General features: G+C 38.6%; 1 protein-coding gene and 1 long non-coding RNA gene across 45 annotated transcripts in view, besides 3 other annotated features; one reads left to right on the forward strand and one right to left on the reverse strand.

Annotated features, from left to right (window-relative positions):
* Window positions 1-24,819, forward strand: part of CD44 (CD44 molecule (IN blood group)) — a 93,232-nt gene that overhangs the window by 54,461 nt on the left and 13,952 nt on the right. For 4 of the 44 annotated variants that reach the window (NM_001440327.1, NM_001440332.1, NM_001440329.1 and 1 more), the window contains 9 exons: window positions 4,490-4,615; window positions 7,451-7,564; window positions 8,037-8,156; window positions 10,881-11,009; window positions 12,481-12,612; window positions 14,474-14,575; window positions 16,334-16,423; window positions 17,615-17,818; window positions 21,221-21,283. The exons of 2 other annotated variants lie outside the window; for them this stretch is intronic. In NM_001440327.1, the coding sequence (NP_001427256.1) occupies window positions 4,490-4,615; window positions 7,451-7,564; window positions 8,037-8,156; window positions 10,881-11,009; window positions 12,481-12,612; window positions 14,474-14,575; window positions 16,334-16,423; window positions 17,615-17,818; window positions 21,221-21,283 (1,080 nt within the window). Of the gene's footprint in view, window positions 1-3,114; window positions 3,244-4,489; window positions 4,616-7,014; window positions 8,914-10,880; window positions 11,010-12,153; window positions 12,417-12,480; window positions 12,613-14,473; window positions 14,576-16,333; window positions 16,424-17,614; window positions 17,819-21,220; window positions 21,284-24,819 lie in introns of those variants that run through there. 38 more of the 44 variants (NM_001440324.1, NM_001440326.1, NM_001001391.2 and 35 more) reach the window with 36 other exon arrangements.
* Window positions 11,871-12,635: an enhancer, noted in NCBI's record as "NANOG hESC enhancer chr11:35227049-35227813 (GRCh37/hg19 assembly coordinates)". NCBI's record gives its function as "activates a minimal SCP1, AML or CMV promoter by ChIP-STARR-seq in naive and primed H9 embryonic stem cells {active_cell/tissue: H9 hESC(naive and primed)}" and the evidence as "EXISTENCE:reporter gene assay evidence [ECO:0000049][PMID:30033119]".
* Window positions 15,987-21,379, reverse strand: CD44-AS1 (CD44 antisense RNA 1). The gene is made up of 2 exons (NR_174965.1): window positions 21,200-21,379; window positions 15,987-17,143 (listed from the first exon to the last, which is right to left on the reverse strand). It is a non-coding gene; the product is annotated as a CD44 antisense RNA 1 (long non-coding RNA).
* Window positions 20,609-21,808: an enhancer, noted in NCBI's record as "CDK7 strongly-dependent group 2 enhancer chr11:35235787-35236986 (GRCh37/hg19 assembly coordinates)". NCBI's record gives its function as "activates an origin of replication core promoter dependent on BRD2, BRD4, P300/CBP, MED14 and CDK7 cofactors, with strong dependence on CDK7, by STARR-seq in HCT116 cells {active_cell/tissue: HCT116}" and the evidence as "EXISTENCE:reporter gene assay evidence [ECO:0000049][PMID:35650434]".
* Window positions 23,316-24,145: an enhancer, noted in NCBI's record as "NANOG hESC enhancer chr11:35238494-35239323 (GRCh37/hg19 assembly coordinates)". NCBI's record gives its function as "activates a minimal SCP1, AML or CMV promoter by ChIP-STARR-seq in naive H9 embryonic stem cells {active_cell/tissue: H9 hESC(naive)}" and the evidence as "EXISTENCE:reporter gene assay evidence [ECO:0000049][PMID:30033119]".

The following is a 24,819-nucleotide window of genomic DNA, read 5'->3' on the forward strand; positions in this document are numbered from 1 at the left end:
TCCTGATGGTTTTTGCCATTCCATTTCAATAAGAAAACATGCTGGACTCAAGTCAAACTTGAGAGTCGAATGAGAGATTTTAAATTGCAAAATGTTACTGATGATATTTTCTCTAATTTGAGAAAAGTCTGGAATTTCTCTAACTTTGGCAACTCTAGTTTTTGGTAGAAACACATATTGAATTAGAATAAAAAGTGACAGAAATGATAGATGGATACCTGAGGAAGTTTTATCTGATTTCGACACTTTGAACACATTTTCTTTGCAAAGTTCCTGCTCAAGTATGAAGTTTGACCTGAGGCTGATGCGTGTGGGCGGAGCTTTGAAATGCCAGTTGTCATCACAAACTACCTGGGTACAATGCTAGACAGATGTGAAAAATACACACTAGCAACCCAAAGATAATCCAAAGATAAATGCATGAAAGCAGTCGTTTGAAATGCTGCTTCGAAAACCTCCAGCTCATGGCTCAGTCGCCCAATCAAGTAAATAGAAAATCTCTTTCCTTCACAGGTTATTAAATTGCTGCTTGATTTTGCTTTGATCATGAATTCAGGGGATTCAGTTTGAAGAATGAGTAGCATGAAATTTATACCCATGAGGAATTTGCATTTCTGATGTTGTCCTAAGATTGTGGGAGACATTAGGAGTCTGGAAAGATAAAACCAGGCCTAGATTTTCTTTTCTAATTATCATTCAATAATAGATACAGACATCATATATAGGCAGAACTGAAAGTAAAGATTTGTAGAGGGAATATCACTAAGTGATACTTTCATAATTGATCCAGTTACTTCAACTGTGCACTCAAACAGCCACGCAACAGCTCAGGAGCAAAATAACTAGATATGGTCCTGGTTTGGTAATTCACAGCCTAAGACTCAGGATCTCACAACAACAGCAACGACAGGTAAACTGCTTTGTCTTTTGCTTATCAGCTCTCCTGGATGTCAGACCTTTTAGTGTTAGGGGAGAGGACGTCCATTATCACGTCAAATCTCCTTCATCATTCTTAGTGAGAATAGGGTCTTGTACCACTTCATATATCAGAAAGGCCTGTGGATCTGGGGATATGATTGATATTCTTAAATGTCCTGTATGTTTTCCTTTTGGCAATGTGTATATAGAATCAGAATGATTTTTCCATCAGAGGAAGGAAAAACTATGAATCAATAGTTTTGAATGAATGAATGAAATTATGAAAAACTACAAATGAATGAATTGACTGTGTGATTCAATGAGAAAATGTCCTTTAGAAAGAAGTCTGCCGGAAAGTGCAGGCTTCTCCTTTCTGCTGATCTGATTCTCACAGCCAGTAATAAGAGAAGGAAATGCAGATTTCTCTCATCAAAGTGTAGGCCCTGAACCCTTCTTTGGACACTTAAAATCTCAACTGTAAAGTGTAGGAAATGACCTGTTGCTCCATATCAGAATCTAGGCCTCTAACCAGCTCCCTGGGTGTGTGGCTCTTAGCTCTATATCCCTGCAAAGTGTATTGTTACAGGAGCTTTGGGGAAAAACGATTCAAGGCCTGTAAATATGGGAGATTACAAGGACACCCTCATTTATTAACTTTCATTGATGGAGTTAATGGCCATATTTCAAAATAACTAGGCATTCTTTCTGCAGAGGGGGATAATAAACATGGAAAAATTATTCTTTACATTTGTTTGCCTTATATGACATTGGATAAATTATATTCTTTACTTCTATAAATAATCGTGAGGAAAATAGTGCTCATGTTATGTTATGGTTGCCATATCACAATGTCTAAGATCATGCAGGGGTGGGGAGGGGGGATACAGAGATTGCAGAATAAAGACAATGCTATTTTTAAATGTTGACAATGTTTATCTTCATAGGACAAAGAATGTGAAGGAAAAGGTCTTTTTGGCAGTGTTTCATCTTCTTGGTTCATTTTTGGGCTTTCTTGATAGCTGAAAAAAAAATCTAACTCACCTTACTATTTTGTTTGGGGATGATGGTTTCAGCCTCTCTGCTTGAACTTGTTCTCAGTTTTTTGTCTACTGTTAGCTCATATTCTTCCAATGCACATTTTTGGGCATTATTGGTTATAGAAATGGCAGTCTTTGGAGATTTTTAAATCAAGACTCTTGCTTCTGGTCTTATTAGCAAGATCATTGGGGTCACTTCATCTCTGTCTGTCTTTCCTGATTGATTATCCTATTTTCAAAGAATGAGACTCAAAATGTCCTGTTCTGCTTTGCAAAATATAGTTTCACATAAGAAATTACCTTGGGCAAGGTTGTGAGAGGATTTGGAATCTAAATGGAGAAAAGTGTAGAGGCATATTTTTCAATCTTCTACTTCTATGTCATTTTCCCTGTGTGTTGGATTGCTAAGATTATGTATCTATTGCTGGCAGAAATATCATATCCTAAATTCTTGGAGAATGATATTGGTTGCCCAAGATTGTATAGAAGATTAAGGAGCTAGGACTCTGAAGAGCTGGGTTTTAGAATCATAAACTCTCAGGTTTGGAAAGGATGTTAAATGGTCTGGTTCAATCAACACTTCTAATAATTTAATCTCTTACACAACTTTCTTGCCAAGTGATCTTCCTGACTATGGGAAACATAATACTTTATGAAGAAGTTCATTGTTGGATAGTTCAGATTATTGGTTTTTTAAATCCAACATTTGGAAGAACATTCCTCTTCCTGAAATTTTCACCACAGATCCTAATTTGGCCTCATGGATCCAGAGGCAAAAAAGTTTAATCCCTCTTTTACATTATATAGACTTTCAAAATTCAAAGACGGCTGTCATGCGTTCCTGGAGCCCTCACTCTTGCTAATTAGGCTTCTGACTTCAGACAGGTCAGAAGCTCTGTCCAGCAAAATTTTTAAATCTTTAATATAAGGAGCATGAACCAGATGACATTTAAGATCCTTCCCTCTCTGACATTCTATAAACTTCAGTTTGAGTCTCTGAAAAAAATGGAACTTTTTTGCTTTTTCCCTTTCTTTTCACCATCTATATCAAATATAGATGATTCTCTTGAGTAGTAAAAGAGTACAAGCATATTCAATGCTATTTCTTAGGAACCGTTAATTAATCTTTCAACAATCAATTCAATCATGATTACAACAGCTTTGATGAGCACTAGTGCTACAGCAACTGAGACAGCAACCAAGAGGCAAGAAACCTGGGATTGGTTTTCATGGTTGTTTCTACCATCAGAGTCAAAGAATCATCTTCACACAACAACACAAATGGCTGGTAATGAGTTATTATTATCTCATAGCGTATGTTTTCTTGACAGCCTTGAATAATTTTGATTGACCTCTGGGATGTTATTAAAGCCTAACGTTCCTTCTATTCTCACAAATTTTCGTTATGACTTCAGAAGGATCATTAACTCTGGTATCTGTTTGTTTGCTTGTATGGCACCAATAAGCAGATTTCTTCTTTCTAATCTATGGATTAGTATAGACCAGGAGAAGGCTAATACAGAGACTATGAAACGGGAATAAGTTTTTTTAACGATATGGCAAAATTGTGACTCTGAAAGATCATTCATGTATATTCTAAAATTACCACAGTCATAAAAAGTCTTGGACTTTCATGAGGAAATAGCATAGCTAGATATGAAAAAATATAGAAAATCTTCATCAATGGAACTATTCTTGGGGTAGACACTAATCATATGAAAAGACAAATGCTCATTCCCTAAGATAGCCTGAATCTCATTTAAAATGTAGAAAACCCCTTTTTAGTAAAGAGACATCTTCTACAGTAACCACTGAGAAGAAGTGGAAGTTTTTCATCTCCTTTTTTTATTCAAAAAGAAAAAGAATTTCTCAATTTCTGAACCACAGTTCACTTTAGTTAACCCCTTTGATTGCCTAATAATGCCAAAAATGATTTCTCTGTTAATTGGCTTCACATTTTTGCTCTATGCTGAAGTAGTATTGGGAACTGCAGTGTAGCTTCCATCTCTGTTTGGAGGTACACTGATCTGATCTGATACTAGAGAAGATAAAAAATGAATTAGCAAATTGTGAACACAATGAAATGACTGACGTAGGTGTAGATTCCAACATTTTTCTGAAGGTGTCTTGACCAAAAAAAAAAAAAAAAAAGGCACGTGTGAAACCTTTCCATTCTGTTCTTGATGGCTTGGCTTTAATGGCATATGGTTAATGAGTTAATAATAAACATATCTGAAAGTGTGGGGGAGTTTTCATTAGCCTTTAAAAACTTATATGGTGAGATTATGTCCACACTTATTCTTTCAGCTTTCTTAAAGAGAATATTCAGTTTTAAAGATCATAGCCACTTGTTTTGAGATTTATGTATTAGCTTCGGAGATCAGAACATAAGAATTTGGGGTATGCAAGTCAACTCCCTCACTTTCTTTTAAAAATCCTGGGAAATCCATTATACCTTCTGTGCCTGATTTTCTTCCTTTGCAAGTGGGTTGCTTGGCGTCCAGCTCAGCCACTAATGCAAGTCACCACAACAGGTACGTCTTCAAATACCATCTCAGCAGGCTGGGAGCCAAATGAAGAAAATGAAGATGAAAGAGACAGACACCTCAGTTTTTCTGGATCAGGCATTGATGATGATGAAGATTTTATCTCCAGCACCAGTAAGAATAATCAATTACAGTACAGCCATTTATGCAAGGCTTATTGATTAATCTGAGTGATACCAAATTGTATCTCTCTTGAGAAGTAGTTAATGTGAAAAATGGGTGAACCTATGATCATACCTTAGTTATATCTTGATGAGATTATGGAAGAAGAAATAGAATGTTTTGAGAAGTGGGGAAAATATCTCACAAAATTTCTCTTGTCTCATGTTCTTCCTGTTTTATTTATCTATGGGATCTACTGCTACAGATTGTCTTTGAATGATCAGGCTTTATCAGAGAATGACATTAAAACAGTACAAAAAATGTACATTGTGTACTTACTGTGCTAGGTGCTGGAAACACGAAGATGAAAAGAGCCAGAGCCTTTGCTTTTCAGAAGCTCATGGTCTGTTGGAGCAATAGACTTGAAGAATGTGATGAGGAGGGTATTAATTAAAAGTTGTAGGCCAGGCGTGGTGGCTCACACCTGTAATCCCAGCACCCTGGGAGGCCGAGGCGGGCAGATGACGAGGTCAGGAGATCGAGACCATCCTGGCTAACACAGTGAAACCCCATCTCTACTAAAAAATACAAAAAATTAACCAGGCGTAGTGGCGGGTGCCTGTAGTCCTAGCTATTCGGGAGGCTGAGGCAGGAGAATGGTGTGAACCCAGGAGGAGATCGCGCCACTGCACTCCAGCACTCTAACCTGGGTGACAGAGCCAGACTCCATCTCAAAAAAAAAAAAAAAAAGTTGTGGAAGTTCCTAAATTGAAGGCCCTAAAGGCTTAAATGATGGGAGCTAGAACTCAAGAATTATCTTAGTTAATCAAAGCCCAGCTGAGGTCAAAGGAACAAATCCAGAGTTTTAACAAATGAGCTGGACACCAATATAGCAGAAAGACCTTGAAGGGAAGGGCAAATGTCAGGTTAGCTTTAGCAAGACATTGCCACTTATTAAAAGCAAATAATGAAACCACTATTGGTACATAATAGTATCCAAATTTTTGACAATTATAAAACTTTTTGAGAACAAAGAGATGGAAATTGAGCTTTAAAGATATCCTTAAAAAGTTAAAAACATGCAAAGGTTGGTCTAATATTCTGCCAGATTACTGAGTTTTCCACACATACCTGTAATGACTTAAGATTTTGCTGAACAGAGCTGAGAATCCTGAACCTGACTCCATCACAGTTCTGCTTTTCCTTAGAAAAAAGGCTTTTGGGGTGCTGTGTGAGCTCTCCCAATTCACTGAAGTTCTATCCATTCCATTAAAATCTGAGAATTTCATCCTCAAATGGACAGAGAAGAAAGGGTCCAGAAAAAAAAATAGCTTAGGCCTTGAAGGCATCTGAGTATATAACATTGATATGACAAATACTCAAAAGGAACTAGAATTTTCTATCTAAACTTTTAAGTGATTTTTTTTTTAGACCCGACACCCCTCCAGAGCTTAATCTATGGAATAAGAAAATTCCTTTTGGTAACTTCAGAACAAAAACCAAATAATCAAAAACACTGGAGTTTTACATTATACTGTCTCCTGTGTTCAGCATGTGGCCCAGCTTTGCAGATGGGCCCATCAGTAAATACGTGGTCTTGATACTGAAGAAATTAAATTCCCTTGGGTGGTAACCCAAACAGATCTACCTGTAAATGAATTGTATGGTCAGGCTTCAGGGAAAAATTTCCCATGGTGTTGTTTTTTTTTTTTTTTTTTTTTTTTTTTAATTTTTTAAATCTCTATGGCATATTTTTCCAATTTCTGCTTTTCTTTTTTTTTCTTTTCTGCTTAGCACCTATGGACATAATTCAACATGATGCCCTCTTTCTTCTGGAGGGGTGTGATAACTGCTTGATAATAAGCACTTTTTCAGGCCTATTGAGAATGTGGTTAATGATTCTAAACTTGATTTTTCATAACTTGTAAAATAGAGCTGACAGTATTATAGTTCTGAAAACAGTTTTGCGTTATTTGGGTATCAAAATAAAGTTTGAAACAATTAGGATGGATTTGCAAATAACCTTTCACAAAACATGTTGACTCAGATTTTGTCATGATCCTTCTGTTAGGTGCATCTCTTATTCCAGCCCTAACAGATTGGGTGACAATATCAGGGTGCTGGTGGATGTACGCCTCTTTCTTTCCAGTGTGCTGCTATGATGGTGGCTGGTTACCTGTGGTGTCTTATTTTCTTTCACTGGCTATGAATGGCTTGCTCATGACATATTTTGTATTTGATGAGAATACCATAGTGTTTGATAAATATTCAGAAATGTATCGCTAAAACATATGGCTATTCTAGGTATTCTTTTTCAGAATCATCTATAGGAAAGCTCTAGCTGCTCAGGCATTCCTTTCCCCACTGAAATTACTAACAACATAAAGTGATTATCATGGTATAACTTTCAGTTATCTGCCTCTTCACCCGGAGGATCTACAAACAGCACACAGTGACTAAGTCCCTGGGCTTTCAAGTGCAGAGGGATACTACAGACTGCATGGATGGGCAAAATGGCGCCTTTGGTTATCCTCGGTGGAGGGCTGGTGTTTTCAAAGCTGTCCTTCCTACTGCTGCAGCTTCTTTGACTGTTTTATCTGGAAGATCTCATGTTCTGAACCCCAAGGTATTCTATGACAGAATGCAAAGGACACTGAGATGCTTACCAATATGGCTGAATTAAGCTGAAGTCACCCTCCGCTTTCCCTCCATTTCCATGCAGCCATCTATACAACCTGGTATAGATGATTCATTGCATAGCCTACAGAAGCAAGACTATGTGCGGGACAAGTGGCGAAGGCTCAAGAAATAACATTTTTCTAATTGCTTCAATCATCGTTATCACAGTTTCAACCACACCACGGGCTTTTGACCACACAAAACAGAACCAGGACTGGACCCAGTGGAACCCAAGCCATTCAAATCCGGAAGTGCTACTTCAGACAACCACAAGGATGACTGGTAATGGGTTCTGCATATTTAATGAAAGATTTTTTTCCCCTCAAAGCCCATGATGCTGCAAAGGTCAATCATCGAGGCACAGTGGGAAATTTAGTTAATATCTGATCAAGAAATTCTTAGTGGACTTTTATGAGGATACTTAATTCCATTTAGGAGTCATTTATCAATTATACCATGTGGGCACAGGATTTTTTATGTTGCTTCATGATAAAAATGAATATGTTTGAATGGTTTGTGGTTCTGCCTTTGACAAACTGATCATAGTGGAATAATAAGGGAACATGAAGAAATTCCAAGCCCATTGATTTTCTCTTGAGACCAATTAGGTAAAGTCACTCAAAATTTTTGAGAGTGGATGCTCAGAGGTAACACTTTGGCATAGAATTGTTAAATAGCATGCACTTTAATGGAAGAATAGAATCATTAAAGATTGGTTGATAACAAGTCACAGTGTATTTAACCATCATCACAGCAGATGTAGACAGAAATGGCACCACTGCTTATGAAGGAAACTGGAACCCAGAAGCACACCCTCCCCTCATTCACCATGAGCATCATGAGGAAGAAGAGACCCCACATTCTACAAGCACAAGTAAGCAAGATGGCGGTCGGCAGTTCTGGGTTAGATGAATTAGTAAAGACATTCCAGCAATAGGGAAGATTTTGTTTAGAAATTGGCCGCATCTTCTATTTCCACTCGGTAATTTCTTTTATTCTTAGAGCCTGAAAAGCTGCTAAACCCGCACACAAATTTTAAAAATTGGAAGGAAAATGATAACTCATCAGGTTGCCCAAAGGCCAAAATGTTTTAAGAAGTAGATCTAGATACAATTTTTGTGTTAAAGGTTCCTAGAGGTTCCATTTGGGTAACTTGTGTGTGTTCATTGAAATGTGTGGCAAAGAGTGTGTTCTTTTGGTGCTTAGTAGTGGAATCTGGAAAGAAAGTTTGTCAAGTGAATTGATCTTTGGAATCCTTATTTTCTATGAAGATCTTTGATGAATACAGTGTCTTTTTTGCATTCTGTCCCTGACTGTTCTATAGAAAGACATCCCTTGTACTCTTTAGAGCAAAGTTGGTAGCTCTTATGGTCTTCATTTGAATTCTACCACTGCTTCTTTTTCTGTTTTTAAGCCCATGGTAACTTGGGGAAGGCTTTGATGCTCTTACTGTTATTTCTACTATTATGAAAACTCAGGTTTTCCAAAACAATCTCAAGTTGCGGCAGTGGACTGTGAGAATAGGGGGCCCCCTCACTCCCCAAACATAAGAAGTATGTGCTTTTCTTCTTTTATCTATCCCGCTGAGATATGTCTATCTTATTTGGAATAAAAGTATTTATTTTGGAAAACAGCTTTTTAGCATTTTTAAAATGATGACCCAACTGTCATTCTCACAGCCCTAGATACACCTAATGGGGAAATGTGAGCCACTTAAAAGCCACTTAAAAACCAAAGGGCTTTGGGAATCTATGGCTTGAGGGGTGCCTTCAGATAACAAAAGAAAAGTTTCAGGTATCAGTTAGGATAGAGGTTAGACATTGTACTGAATATATCCAGCAGATCTTACATCCCATTACAAACCCCAGTAGGTGTGTTGTATACATACGGCTTAGGGGTTAAGTTAACAAAGAAGTCTGATAAGAAAAGGAAATACAGAGGAAGCATAAATCTCTTTGGAATAGGATTTTGTTCCACTCCCTTAGAGCCCTAACAGTATACCTTAGAAATTATTTTAGACAGTTTGTACTTAAAGACCAGAAAGCTACTTTAGAGACTTGGAAATAATGAGCCTATTGTCAAAAGGTGGTGCTTGCGGGGCATTAGGACTAGAGGGTTGGTGAAAATTCAGACAGAATGTAACTTGACAAAGAGAAGACAGCAACAACTGTAACAATTATCTTATGAATATTTGCGAAACTCAAAGGGATCTGATTGGTGACCTCTGGGCTTTATCAAATTAACATCACAACTTCTAGAAGAAAGTCAACCTTCATCTTTTACAATAGAAATCATATGTTTTGCTAACCCATTCCTATTTAGGCTGAAAACAATTAAGAGTTATGGGTACTTAAAAAAATCATTATGTTTATAAAATTAGTGATAGAAGGAGCATAGTGTTCTATACAGTCACACACATACACTTCCTTATTTCTTTTATTTAAACTTTGAGTAACATAGCAGTCTATGTTTGGGTCAGTTTTCCCTTTTTTGTAATTACATTCAGTGGTTTTTGTAACTTCATTATTTATTGGGAATTAGTGATTTAGTCAGTGGGAGTTTTGTAAAACTTAAGATTTTGGCTTTTTTCCCCCTCCTCCTGGATAACCAGTTAACCCAATAATGGCTTGGCCGATGGAAGGGTAAAATGAGGACAGTTATATTTTTTAAATGTCATTACTGTCACCAAATCACACATATCATTTTCTAAGATAAGGAAATACAACCATTTTTACAAGTTGCAAAAAAGTACTCTGGCTTGGCAAGTTTATAGACTCTCATTTTCTTGATAAACTAAAAAAAAAAAAGAAATTGCTACAAGCTGCTATAGACAAAAATGTTGGTGTCTTTCTGACTTTTCCTGAAGACACCTTGATGGAATTATATTCTCTTGATTTTGTCCTTTTTAAAATGATGGTTGAAATTTTAAGCCTGTCACACACTATTATTTATATAATGCCTCAAACTGGCTTGGATAGTTTTCGTCAACTGAATTAATTTTGTTAAAAAGTGATTTTAGCAATTTTAGGTGCCATGTGGACATCACCAAATACTGTGTTAGTGGAATAGCATCCAAGCCATCCCACCATCTTTCCTGCTGGGCAAATCCACTGCTGGTGCATTTCCAGTGTGTGCGATTATGGGTTACATGACCACCATTTGAGAAGGTCTCCTAATGTGCTGATCTTGTTATTAGCTGTTATACAGTGTTTTCCTTTCGTCAAAATGACTGGAGCAAAGAGGTTATTCTTTGAATGGTTTTCTCAGACAGGGTATGTGAAGCCATTCACTACAGTAAAATAAAAATAATAATAACTCATAGAACTATGAGAATTCATCAGCTATGGTCTGCTTAGTCCTATGATTTTGAACAAATCAAAACTTCTTTGGACCACAATTTTCCTAGCTGAAAAATTAAACATTTGGATCATTTGATTTCTCATATCCCTTTTAGAATATCAGTGGCCTGTTTCCTTGGTGCCTTTCTTTTCTACCTTCCCTCCCCATGTGTATCTGCCCTTAAAGTAGAAAGATATGTTGACAGCTATTGGTGAGGAAAATAGACAATTATGTCTCCCAACTGATATTCTTCTCACAGTCCAGGCAACTCCTAGTAGTACAACGGAAGAAACAGCTACCCAGAAGGAACAGTGGTTTGGCAACAGATGGCATGAGGGATATCGCCAAACACCCAAAGAAGACTCCCATTCGACAACAGGGACAGCTGGTAATGGATGGTTTAACAAGTAAATTTGGATGGAAACTTCCTTTTGGGTTAAACGGTAGACATTGAGGACATTGAACAAAAGGACACTGGAGGAATTGTCACGAGATGTTAGGTTACTTAATAAATTATGCTGCAGTTCACACAGAGCCAAACCTTAAAGGCTCATAACAAGTCACCTGAACAGGAATGGATACAAGCCAGTTATGAATAAGAACAGGAAACACAGAGAAAATGCCCTTGAACATGTCTCTTTCACATCGAGTTTTGGGCATCATCTAGTGAGATTGTAGCAGAGGCCCTGATAAAATATCGCTGTCTGTTGTATAAAGGAATCTACTCTATAATGTGGGTCCAGACTTTACAATATGATTCTGCAAAGTCTGGCTGTGAGAAAGCATTTTGTCAGAACTCCAGTGTTTGAAGAAATAGAGCCAGACATTATGTGAAAAGTGACACCTGTCTGATGTCATTTGGCCTTTTGGCCATGCCTGTTCAGTAATTTGTTTTTGAGTATAAAAAAGGTATCTTCTCTATTCTTGAATTGTGAGATTGTGGAAATTGGAATCCAGTCTTATCATCATCTCTAAGTGATACCAGATAACTTGGCTTTGCAAGCTCCCATGCAGGATTCTTTTGTCTGTGTGACATAAGTATTAAAATGTGTCCTGCCTTATAAAGAATGTGAATTCCATATTCTCACTTGGTATCAGTGAGAAATATTCCCATATTTCTATTTGCAACATAGAAGATAATGCATCATGTCCTTCTGGGGCATGGCAAGTTCTAAATGAATTCCTGGCAGAGCAATGGATTCTGTGATTGTCTATGTGGTGTAGTTGTTGCTAAGAGGATGCTATTGTAATCTTTTCTACCTATACTTCTTCATTGGCTCAGAATGAAGCAAGGCATGTGCTGCTTTCTTATATGTCATTTATGCCATAAATCCCATTGTTAGAAGGTAATGCTTCTAACGGATTCCATTCATGCTTTTGAGATAAATGGCATTGACTTTCATATTGATCACATGGAAAGCTGTTACCTGATTCCTTTCCTGAGATCACTTCCAGCCTAATGTGCATTTGGCTGGAATATGGTTGTCTCAGAATAACATCATGCACTCGGGCTTTTATACTTCTGCCTTTAGGGGACTGTGGCAGCATGGCATGGGTCAAGAAGTACTTCTCCTTCATCTTCCTTTGATGTCGGTAACTCATCCTTTCTGCACTGCGGGAGTTGTTAATGCTTTTGTGTCCTCCAGTTCACATGCTGATTGCTAAGAAGAAAATGAGCATGAGTGAACCCAAAGCTGCTGAAACATTCTGCGTTTATGCAACTTCCTTGCCCTCTATACAAGGAAGATGGTTTCATTGTCTTGTCTAGAGAATAAAGTCTTTTTTAAAAATAAAATCGGTGTATCCCTGACCAAGCGTCCATTAACACTTTGACAATTGCTCAAACTGCATGGTCACAGCAGCCTCAGCTCATACCAGCCATCCAATGCAAGGAAGGACAACACCAAGCCCAGAGGACAGTTCCTGGACTGATTTCTTCAACCCAATCTCACACCCCATGGGACGAGGTCATCAAGCAGGAAGAAGGATGGGTAATAGCCTCTGAGATTTTTATATATTATGTTTTTTGAAATCCACTGAGTGACTGCTGACTATTTTTCTAGAAATATGCCCTTGGTTTTAGACCAAACTACTTTCCTGAAGGACCTGAGGTTCTTCAAAAATTAGTTTTCTTGGTAGGAGTGATACTCATATTCACCTGAATATGAAGTTCTGAGCTGAAAGTAAGGAATTTAGCAGGAGGGTTGGCAAAAGAAAAAACTTATTGTCAAAATATATCTGTGTGAGGCAGTAAGTAATAGATATGAAATGAATGTTGCCAACAATAAACGCTAAAGAAATTCTGAGAACCCCTCCCTGCCCACCACAGCATCACAGAAAGGTGAATTGGACTTGGTTTATGAAAAATAAAAAAACCCTGGATAGTCAGAGAAAGGAAGTGGGTGGTGGGGGTTGGTGGGGGGGGCAGTTTTCCTAAGAAGGAGACTCCTGTAAGGAGAAACGTGAAGGAAGAAAAGCCAAGGAATGAATATGTCAGTGAGTGGATCCATTTTTCACAAGGGAAGATGTGTTTGAATGGCTAGGCAGGGGCCATTATGTTGAGTGACTGAAGTACCACAGGCAGACCCAGCACACATGAGTTTGCACATGGCAGCTGGAGCTCTGAGGACACCCATGGGGGAAAACCAAGCCAGGCAAAGATCTTCAGAATCAATATTAATTCTATGTACTGATGAAGAGAAAGAGATTCCATTAAATTAATGAACATGTCAAGGACAATACAATTGGCTTCAACTACACAATGGTATGATGACTCTTGAAGGACTCTACTTATAAGAGGGAAGATGAACAAGAGTCTAGAGCCCATCATCAAGTGGGACTTTTTCTGGGAGAATGTCCATTTGTGGTTTTGATTCAGGTTAGCACTTGCTCTTGTTTGAAATCTGGGATAACAGGGTCACCACATTTTTGTCCTACAAAGATCTTTAATATTTTAGTGTTGAATATTTAGTGTTGAATCTTGAATATTTAGTGTTGAAAGGCTGCAGTGCAGACCTGGGTACCCAGTATTCTGGTGCTTCACTGGGACTGATTAAATCTCCCCCAGAGGCAGTGATGTGGATAGACTTTGACTGAATTGACAGCCAGAAATATCGATGGGGTTTATGAATTGTTTGGCCTCTGTTTCACTCAAGACTTCTTATTTCAGCAGAGTAGATCTGTGATAACTGTTAAAAACAACATTTACAAGTATTTCAGTGAAATTTCTGCACTACTCAACATTGTACATGTTAAATTTTAAAGACCGCTTATACTTGGGTTTTTGGGAAGAATAATTCAATGACGTCCACTGCTTCTTATTTCTTGCCCCTGTATACTTTCTGTAACTCCACCTAGGTGGTCTTGGATGACGATTCTGTTTATTTGCATATTCACTTTGTGAAGAAAAAAAGACTAAAGGGGGGAAGAGGGCTATTTTTAAAAGTCCCTTTGGTTGGTAAGGGGGAGGGGATAAAATGGTGCCTGAGCCAGCACACTTTGTCTTTTCTCCATGTGTCAGATTGCATGTTTCTATAAAAAAGGCAATGTTTCTGTCTCTCTGCAAGATTTGGGTGTTCCATCATGCACTCATGTGGAGTCCTTCCAGACTCAGCAAAAACAAACACACAGCATAGCTTTCATATAACTCGGCCCTTCAAGGAAAGCCAGTTACTTGTTGTGGTGCTCTTTGATGAAACAATAATCTATCTCAGTTCGGGAGATATAGTCAGTATGTGCTTTCTTTCCTCTTGGCCAGATGTGAATATTTAAAAAAATCAGCTGTAGACCATAAGCCACCTTCAGGTAGTGGTTTGGGAAATCAAGCAATAACACTAATATTGATTCCTTCAGATATGGACTCCAGTCATAGTATAACGCTTCAGCCTACTGCAAATCCAAACACAGGTTTGGTGGAAGATTTGGACAGGACAGGACCTCTTTCAATGACAACGCGTAAGAATAACGATGCTCAGCCACTTTATTGACTTGTATTCCTGCTTCATCTCTTACTCGCTATTGGCCAAGATGCAGAGCTTTGGTGGTGGAATGGTGCTATGTGGCTTACTTCAGCCCAGAGTGTGAAACTGTCTTCATTGTCTGTATTTCTTGTGGAGGTCTCTCAACCTGATTTTCCCTTCATTTCTTTGTGCCTTCCAGATTTAATGACTTTGTGTTTTAAGAAAAAGTAGGACTCTATTCAACTCCATTTTCATTCTCTAAGTAGTTATGTCAGTGAAACACATGCCCACTTCCAGGATAGTGATTTCTCTATGTTTTAACTGACCATTTCCTTTCAATGTCCATCTTTCCTCCAGCCAGTGCAGAAGAGGGGTAGGATTGCTTGCATGGTTGTAAAAAGACATTTTTGGGGCCAGATAATCCTAGAGATCACATCAGTTCTCAGAGGAGAGGCAAGGCATGTTATTGACAATCAACAAAGGTGGCGGGATCCCTGGAACAACAACAACAACAAAACATTGCTAGTATCTCTTTCTATCACTAAGAAATGTTCAAATTCTAGTAGCCTTAATTTCTACTCTATGTGCAGGGATGTCCTAGAGATCAGCCTAAAGTCGTTCATAATTTCTTTGAGGAATACAAAAGAAATCTAGAATTAAGAAGGTCCCATTTTACTGCTTGCCACACATAATGGGCAGAGTCCTTCATATGAGCCCTTTAGGCAAAGGAAAAAAATCAGCAAGCATGTATTGATGGTCAGCAATGTAAATAGCACAGCGTTAAGCATCAAAGGAGATGCAAATAAGCCTATGAATGGTCCTTGCCAAAGAAGGACTTATATTTCCGTTTTATGTCACTGTTGGCTTTTGTTCTGACATTGGGTTTGGGATTTAGTGACTGTCTTTCTCCTGGTTGTAATATTTATTCGGTGGTGGGCATGGCTTATGGGTGTGCTTTATGAAGTTTTTGCACCTGCAACTCAGGTCAGTACCTTTCTTAAAAGAACACAAAAGAAATAAACTTGAAACAGTCCAAGTGATTTTAGATATGGGCAATGGGTCAACCTCCAGTTGATATATGTCACTGAGGGCCCTGTGTTTGCCCAGGCAAGCGTTTCCTTGGTGCAGTGATGAAAATCCCAATGCACAGGTGAAATTAAGAAATAACTTAATAATGGAGTAAAATGGTAACTTTAATTTAATGACCTTTACAAGGTAGCTAAGTATTTCCTTGTATAAATTTGATCTGTGTTACTTGAGTAGGCTATTCTAGATAGGCTTCTTTTTCTTTTGTGGTTACAACTAGACTACAGGCTATCATAGTGTTCATTTTCCCTGCCGTCACATTTCTTGACACACAGTTAGGTGCTTTTGGTTACTGATAGGAGCATTGGGATTCAAATATTCTTTTTTCCATGTCTCTGTGTTCTCTGGTTTTCTGGAGTGACTGGGAGCAATGCTGCAATTGAGCCTGGACAATCCAGGATAGGCAAAGTTTTGGCTCAGTCTTCACCTTGCCACTTTACCTTTGATGATTATACTGAGAAATAAAGGGTCTTCAGAACCAAATAGGGGCAAAATAGAATTCTTCTGTATATTTCTATCAATCAGAGGAGAATTGTGTGCACAAACCTTGGTCTTCCTATGCACCTATCCATCTGACTCTACTCTAGCTAGATTTTCCTTGCTAGCAGATAACAGGATTTGTACCGTAGCTTCAAATTAACACTGGATTCATTCCTCATTGAAACAGAGCAGAGTAATTCTCAGAGCTTCTCTACATCACATGAAGGCTTGGAAGAAGATAAAGACCATCCAACAACTTCTACTCTGACATCAAGCAGTAAGGATTATAAAACCTAGTTGGCTTCAGCTATTGATAAGAATCAATCAATTATGGGTACTTTTGCAGTGTCTTTGGTGGAGGTGCATCCATTAGCTGCCGTTACACTGTTACTTTTAATCAAAAGGTGCGTCTGGTGGTGGTTCTCTGATTTTTCTGTTTTATATACCTCTTCGTACATTAAGTGCAAACTACATTTCTTCATCTTAAAAGTTGGGTTTCTTTCACTCTAGAGTTAGTGATTTGTTTTAACAATAATGGATTGCTTATATATGATTTATTTTATTTATTTATTTTTGTTAACTTGAGATCTTTCTAACTTTTTTATGTGGGCGTTTAAATTTAGTGCTATAAATTTCCCTCTTACTACTGCCTTAGCTGTGTCCCAGAGATTCTGATATGTTGTATCTTTGTTCTTATTAGTTTCAAAGAACTTCTTGATTTCTGCATTAATTTCATTATTTACCCAGAAGTCATTCAGGAGCAGGTTATTTAATTTCCATGTAATTGTATGGTTTTGAGTGAGTTTCTTAGTCTTGATTTCAAATTTGATTGCGCTGTGGTCCAATAGACTGTTTGCTATGATTTCAGTTCTTTTGCAGTGTGATTTATAATTGGCGTAAATGTCTGATTATATCACTTTACATTCCTCACAATAATATTGTTTTGCCTTTTGTCCTCTGGACCTCCATGGTGCTGATGACTAAAAAGCAGTCCCTTCTGGAAAAGAAAAGAATAATTAAATTAGTAGCCTCAGGCCTTTGAAACCATGCATTTGCTATTTTAATTGCAGGCAGCAAAATTTTATCTTTCAATCCAATGATATGTTTCCTCCACTACATCAAAGATGAATCCAATTGAGAAAGAACTCAAGATTATCTAGTACCTCAGCTGACTTCAAGATCACAGTTGTAGTGACATAGCCTTACCTAATAACCCAAGCAGATGTTGCAACAAATGCCAATTCTGGGTATTAAGATCACCAAAATCTCTTCTGTTGAGTGATGTCCAAGTAGTGTCTATTGCAAAATATTTATTCTGTTCAATAGTATGACAAACTTCACTCTATTTCTCCCTATTTATGGATAACAAGTGGAAAGCTTTTGCAGCAATTGTGTGTTCTGGAGACAAGCACATGGTGGGTGGTGATCTTACAAATACGGGTTCATCACTGATTCCACCTCCACACAGATAGGAATGATGTCACAGGTGGAAGAAGAGACCCAAATCATTCTGAAGGCTCAACTACTTTACTGGAAGGTTATACCTCTCATTACCCACACACGAAGGAAAGCAGGACCTTCATCCCAGTGACCTCAGCTAAGACTGGGTCCTTTGGAGTTACTGCAGTTACTGTTGGAGATTCCAACTCTAATGTCAATCGTTCCTTATCAGGTAATTTGGCATTTATTATCTAGTTTGCTTTCTCTATATAGAGAAACAATATATAGTTTCATATTACAGAGGACATTTTCTGTGTAGTCTGGGATTGGACTAGTTTGTGATATGGAAATATCTTTCATTATTGGTTATCAATTCTAGTGCAAATAAACTTGGGTATATTTTAGATAAAAGAATGCTTCCTTTTGCCAGTGTTTTTTCCATTTGTCTGTGTTTGCATGTGTGTGTGTGTGTGTGTGTGTGTGTGTGTTGTGTGTACAAGTTGGCTGTTATGATGGAATTGCTTTCTTTGTCTTATCTTGTGATATATGAAGTTGAACCACATGAAACTGATATTTTTGCAGGTGAAAGTAGTCGAATTTTAGCAATTCCGTTTAATTCGACTAATATACTCTACTTATTTTGTAAGGTTTTATCCTACAGGTGAATAATTTCTATATACTAGTATCTTTGCTCTGAAATTATTATCTTGTTTTGGTAATAGATTGATCAGTTTTACTTTTGGTGATGGATAAACCTCTTCTAGTTCTGATGCACACTTAAAATGTTCATGATTTAATCTAGTATTAATGAATAGGGACCACTTCTCTTATTGTAATAGTGAAGAGAGGAACGAAGATAATTTATTCAATGAAGTTTGACACGGACCTAGAATAAGTCTTTTTTTTTCTCAAATAAGTAGTCATCTCTGCTTCTGCTTTTCTTTGCTTCTCCATTTGTATTAAGAAATTAACAGTGAAGAAAGGGGAAATGGAAAACGCCCACTGTAGTGAAGAAATAAAAAACAGATTCTGTCTTCCTAGTACTAGTTTTTCAATTGCTTTGTAACACAATCACTAGGCATATTCAAGATTAGAGACTTTAGATACATAATTTTGGAGCAGAGATCTTCTCTCCTCCCCCCAAAAAAGAAAAAGAAGAATTCATATGTGTGCATATATATATAATTTTTTTTTTTGAGACGGAGTTTCACTCTTGTTGCCCAGGCTGGAGTCCAATGGTGCGATCTTGGCTCACCTCAACCTCCGCCTCCTGAGTTCAAGCAATTCTCCTGCCTCAGCCTCCATGAGAATCCAATATGTAAAACAGATGACGGTTGTGATGCAGGGACAGAAAATTCAGAATGCCACATGCTTGGCCTCATTTCTCTGGGTGGCCTACCCAAGAGCTTCAAGAAAAACAGTTTAAGAAAATGCTAACTTCAGCAATATTGGCAAGACAAAGCCCCTTACACTCCTTAGTTCTTTATTCAGCATTGTTCTGCTCTCATTTATTAAAAATTCCAAGTACCATTGTCAGTATTCTTCAGAAAATCTTATAGTGCTGTCTCATTTCTCTTGGCAAAAGAAAGCCTGTTGTGCAACCCAATGAATTTAATTTTTTTTTTTTAAAGAGTCTTGCCCTGTCACCCACACTGTAGTACAGTGGCGCGATCTCGGCTCACTGCAACCTCTGCCTCCCGGGTTCAAGCGATTCTCTTGCCTCAGCCTCCTGAGTAGCTGGGATTACAGATGTGTGCCACCACGCCCGGCTAATTTTTTTATTTTTAGTAGAAATGGGGTTTCACCATGTTGGCCAGGCTGGTCTCGAACTCCTGACCTCAAGTGATCCACCAGCCTCAGCCTCCCAAAGTGCTAGGATTACAGACGTGAGCCACCACGCCCAGCCATGAATTTAAAGTTTAAATGGCAATTTTAATAGTCACAGTACCCTAGAATGCTTATAGCCTAATGTTAGTAAATCAAATGCTTTTTACAAGACTGATATTCACAGACACTGATTCTTTCTGATTTCCACAGTGGTACGGACAGATTTTCCATAATTCTCCATGGATTAGACAATTAAGTCACCCAATTCTCATCCTTGGTTTTCTTCAAAAACACTCACCCACATAAATCTCATTTATGTCTATACATTTTTCTCAGTCTTTACGCTTAATGTTAAGAACTAAAGCATTTGTTGAAGCAAGCGGATCACTTGAGGTCAGGAGTCTGAGACCAGCCTGGCCAACATGGCGAAACCTCGTCTCTACTAAAAATACAAAATATTAGCCAGGCATGGTGGCAGGTGCCTGTAGTCTCACCTACTCAGGAGACTAAGGCATGAAAATCACTTGAACCCAGGAATTGGAGGTTGCAGTGAGCCGAGATCGTGCCACTGCACTCCAGCCTGGGCGACAGAACGAGGCTCCGTCCCCCAAAAAAGAACTGAAGCATTTAGAATCATAGTGGCAGTGGTGGTGGTGGTGATGGTGATGGTGATGGTGATAATGATGGTGATGGGATGGTGACGGTCATGGTGATTTTGGTAGTGGGAGTATTGGTGTGGCATTTCAGCAAATGTTGTTTTCATTTGTTTTAACCATCAGCCAAGGAACAAAGCAATCTGTCTCTTCAATATAGTTACACAGGTGACTAAGTGTCACCCGCTTCCACCTTCTCTAATCAAGGAAATGGTGACGATCAGGTTACTATAGATTCCTTATAAGGTGCCTTCATAATGGATAACTGTAGCCATTTTATGTAAGCATTGTCCTGTGATTAAAAAAAAAAAAAGATTCCAGTATGCTTTTGAAAAATGTGGGTGGGGGAGAGAGTTTTAATATGCTGCATTCAAGATTTGACCTATGGATTTAGATTCTAGCAATTCATGAGGTTGTCTTAATCTAAAGCTTTCTGGTGATAGATGTTTGAGAAGCTAGGATTATATTAACTAGTCATGTTGAAACTACAGATTTAACTTTAAAAAATTATTTTAAACTTACTATAATACCCATATTCCAATACACATTATTAATGTTAGCTATCATCTCACCATTTCCTTTTTTACTTATTTTCAATTTTTTTTGAAAATAAGTAGTTGACCTTTCTCTTTGAATCTTTACATCATTCAATCCCAAGATTCCTTATTGCATACTAATTTCCTGCCGCCAAGAAATCTCTGTTTCATGCCCTAAGCCAGAGTATGCCCATTTGCAGTGATTATGTTTCTCATAATCCAATTCATATTGTCCTTATTTAAAATGTACAATGTCTAGTCTCAACCTCATACCTGCAAAGATATCACAATATTTTTGTTAGCATGTTCCTTACCACAGTTCTTGGATTTCTACCAAAACAAAGTTTCTACAAAACTTCCTGTGGTCATCCTTCTTAGCCTTTGCTGCCCCAGTTTCCTTAATTCTTATTAAAGTTCTAGCTCATTTATCAGTGGATTAAGCAATGAACGGTAATTAACATTGTGGACCCATTCAAGGCTGTTTTGCCATCATTTTTTGGAATACCTTAAAAAGACTAAACTTTGTGATAGGCTGTATAAGAATGCAAAGGTAAAGAAATGCAGATGGGAGTGTAAGTGAAAACATGCAGTACTGACCTTCCTGATTGCTCATTACAGGAGACCAAGACACATTCCACCCCAGTGGGGGGTCCCATACCACTCATGGATCTGAATCAGATGGTGAGTTCAAAACTGCTTTAGTCATTTACTGTTATAATCATTGAGCCTAATGATGACTACCAACGAAGTATGAGTCAGTGTCTCCAGAGAAGTGGTTCTCAAACCTTCTTAGCATACATCACAATTGCAGGGAGGGCTTATTAAACCACAATGCTGGACCCCACCCTTAAGGTTCCTGATTCAGTAGGTCTGGGGTGGAGCCCAAGCATTTGCATTTCTAATCAGTTCCCTGGTAATACTGACACTGCTGGGACAGGGATTGCACTTTGAGAGCTACTGCTCTGGAGGAAAGCCTTGCATCTGAAAGCCTCAGGAAGAATTCAAGCAGTGTCCCAATTTAACCTTGCACTACACCAGAGTGATTAAGAGCTTGAGCTTTGTAGCAAAAATGGCCTGAGTTCGATTCCAGCCCTCCGCATATTAACTGAGCAAGATGCTTTAAAGGGTCTGAGACAACATTTCTCAACTAATAAACTTGGAATAATAACAATTGTCACAGGACATTGTTTCAAAGACTAAATGATAGAATACATGTAAAGCATTTAGCATAATCCTGGCACATGATATCATCACTGGTATTTGTTGGGAATTTACTGTGTGCCAGCAGCATCTTTCTAAACACTTTACATGTATTAGGTTGGGCCAAATGGAACTGCCATTATTGTAGGTCAAGAACAGGTCAATATCGGCCAGGCACGGTGGCTCACACCTGTAATCCCAGCACTTTAGGAGGCCGAGGCAGGTGGATCACGAGGTCAGGAGTTCGAGACCAGCCTGGCCAACCCTGTCTCTACTAAAAATACAAAAATTAGCCGGGCGTGGTCCTGCGCACCTGTAATCCCAGCTACTCAGGAGGCTGAGGCAGGAGAATTGCTCGGACCTGGCAGGCAGAGTTTGCAGTGAGCCAAGATTGCACCACTGCACTCCAGCCTGGGTGACAGAGCAAGACTCTGTCTCAAAAAAAACCAAAAAACAAAAAACAAAAAAACAGGTTAATATCAGCAAATTCATAGAGTTTATCTAGTATGAACTCATTCAGTCATCCTATAAACTCTGTGACATAGGTAAGTACTATTATTATCCCCATGTTACAGATGAGGAAACTAAGGCTCAGAGAAGGTAAGTAACTTGGCAGAGTTGACAGGACCAGAGAGTGATGGAGCCACCTTTCAAGCCTGGAGGGCCTTGTATTACTTCTCATAGCACAGTCTGGAGAAGGCATTCCATAATGACCATAATTACTCCCAGGCATGAATTCTTAAATAGACTCCTGTTTGTTGTGATTCAGATCACACCCCTACAAACCTTACCCCAGACTGCAAAAGTCTGACATGAGGTAGGTTTACTAATTACTTCTACTGCTGGGCTACTGGGAGGTTCTGCCAGTGCTGCCTTACTGTGGTCTCCCTGAACATCATAAATCCAGGTGACCCCATGTAAATGATTTAAGCCATATCAATTATTGTCTCCCCTTTTTATGCCCAAGTTTGAGTGAGGCTCACCATCAGATTTAAATGTTTACACATTGAAAACAAATATGAAGATGGATATTTACATGGTGGCTTCCACAATAACTCTCTATGGAGGAGCACTAGGAGGTAGGGATTCATTAGAAATGCTTCTGAAATAGAGACAGAAGTCACAGGTTCACTGGGGACTTTAGGCAGGGCACTTAACCTTTCCCAGACTCAGTTTCCTTGTTAGTAAAAAGGAGATCAAATCATCTGCCTCAGTTGCTTCCTAGAGTTATTGTGAGGAAGACAGGGTACCAGAAGTGTGAAAGTACTCTGAAAAAGTAGGGAGTTATTATTAAGGGGCATGATCTCTAAAACCAAGAGACCCCAGCCACTCTCTAAGTATGATTCTTTAACCATCAGAGTGGACATCACCTAGGAACTTGTTGGAAATGCAGAATCCTTGGCCAACCCAGACCTACTGAATCAGGATCTGCATTTTAACTACACTCTCCCACCCAGGTGGTTTATATGCACATTAAAATTTGGAAGCTTAGACTGTGCTAGACTGCTTTTCTCACCATTGAAGCCAATTGAACAATCTCTGTGCATATGTCTCAGATTACATGTCATCTCCCAACAGGAATATCAAGTGCTCCTCTTTGTGGAACTTGCTACTGTGGCCAGTCCTACCCTGGCTGGATTTGTAGACATCTAGGGCACAAGGCAAGACCTGCTATCTCACATCCATCTTCTGTGGCTTTTGCTTGAAGTGAGAATCAAGCAGACAGGAGCCAGTCTCTTTTGTTTGGCTTCTGAGCAGGTGTCTATTGTTCAAACAGGAGGTTTCATCTTGCTGCACGCACACCCAGATCTTTTCTTGCTGGGAGCACTTCTTCTTTTTTTTTTTTTTTAAATCAAAATAAAGTGATTATGATCCGTTAATGGCCTCTTTTTAAATATCAAAGGCTTCTATGAGTCAGAAAAGAAAAAAAAAAAAAAGAACAGTGAGAGTGACTGTACCTCCTGGGGAGTTTTCACGGCCAAAGATCTTCAGTTTAGGTGGCCAGTGTCCCATGAGTTGGGCAGGTGAAAACCTGCCAACCACCAAGGACACTGGAAGGCATGTAGGGAAAGGGCCTTGGACTGTTTTGGAGATTTGTAAAGTCAAAGGCCACTGTCAACATAGGATAGGGGATGTTGAAACACCCAGATGTCTGGTAGGAACTGGTTTTGCTCCCTTTTAAGTTTTAACAAAAGCATCAAATTGCATAAACAAGAGCCATCCTGTCCCCATATAACCATTGTAATCAAGATTTCAGTGTGCACAGCCTAAAGTTTGGCTCCATGAGGAAAGCTCTCATTTAAGACCCCACCATTTTCATCCATTGATCAGCCTTCAGGATTCTACAGTGGGCTTCCATTTGGTAGGAAAAAAAAAGTTCATTTTGGTGGAACACTTTCAAATTTTGTTTTGAAGCAATGGAGGAAGAATTTTTAAAAATTCATGAAGCTTTCATTTTGATGAGGCTCTTCACAAGATGTCTTAGAAGTTTCTTTTTTAAAAAAATTGTTTATTTATTTATTATTTTTATTTTTAACAGGGACAGGATCTCCCTATGTTTCCCAGGCTGGTCTCAAAGTCCTGGACTCAAGAGATCCTCCTGTCTCAGCCTCCCAAAGTGCTGGGATTACAGGTGTGAGCCACCATGCCCGGCTTCTTAGAAGTTTCTTTTAGAACCATTGTGTCTCCCTCATTTCGATAGGCCTCCAGTTCTGACTTGAGGATTGTCTGTCTTGCGATACTTCCTCCCAGTTTAAGGCATTTTGTTCATCTCCTTATTTTGCTTTTTAGCAGTAGAAAATGTTGATTCTTCTAACAAGGTGTGTTTCAGTAATATATTAGCAGGGACTCTAATAGGGTGATTTTTCATAGTCAGAAAGGGCCACTGCCGCTAAACTCCTTATTTATTTATTGTGAGGTGGAGTCTCGCTCTGTTGCCAAGCTGTAATGCAGAGGCACAATCTCAGCTCACTGCAACCTCTGCTTCCTGGGTTCAAGCAATTCTCCTGCCTCAGCCT

The sequence above is a fragment of the Homo sapiens genome, chromosome 11 (genome assembly GCF_000001405.40).
Source record: "Homo sapiens chromosome 11, GRCh38.p14 Primary Assembly".
Lineage (NCBI taxonomy): Eukaryota > Metazoa > Chordata > Mammalia > Primates > Hominidae > Homo > Homo sapiens.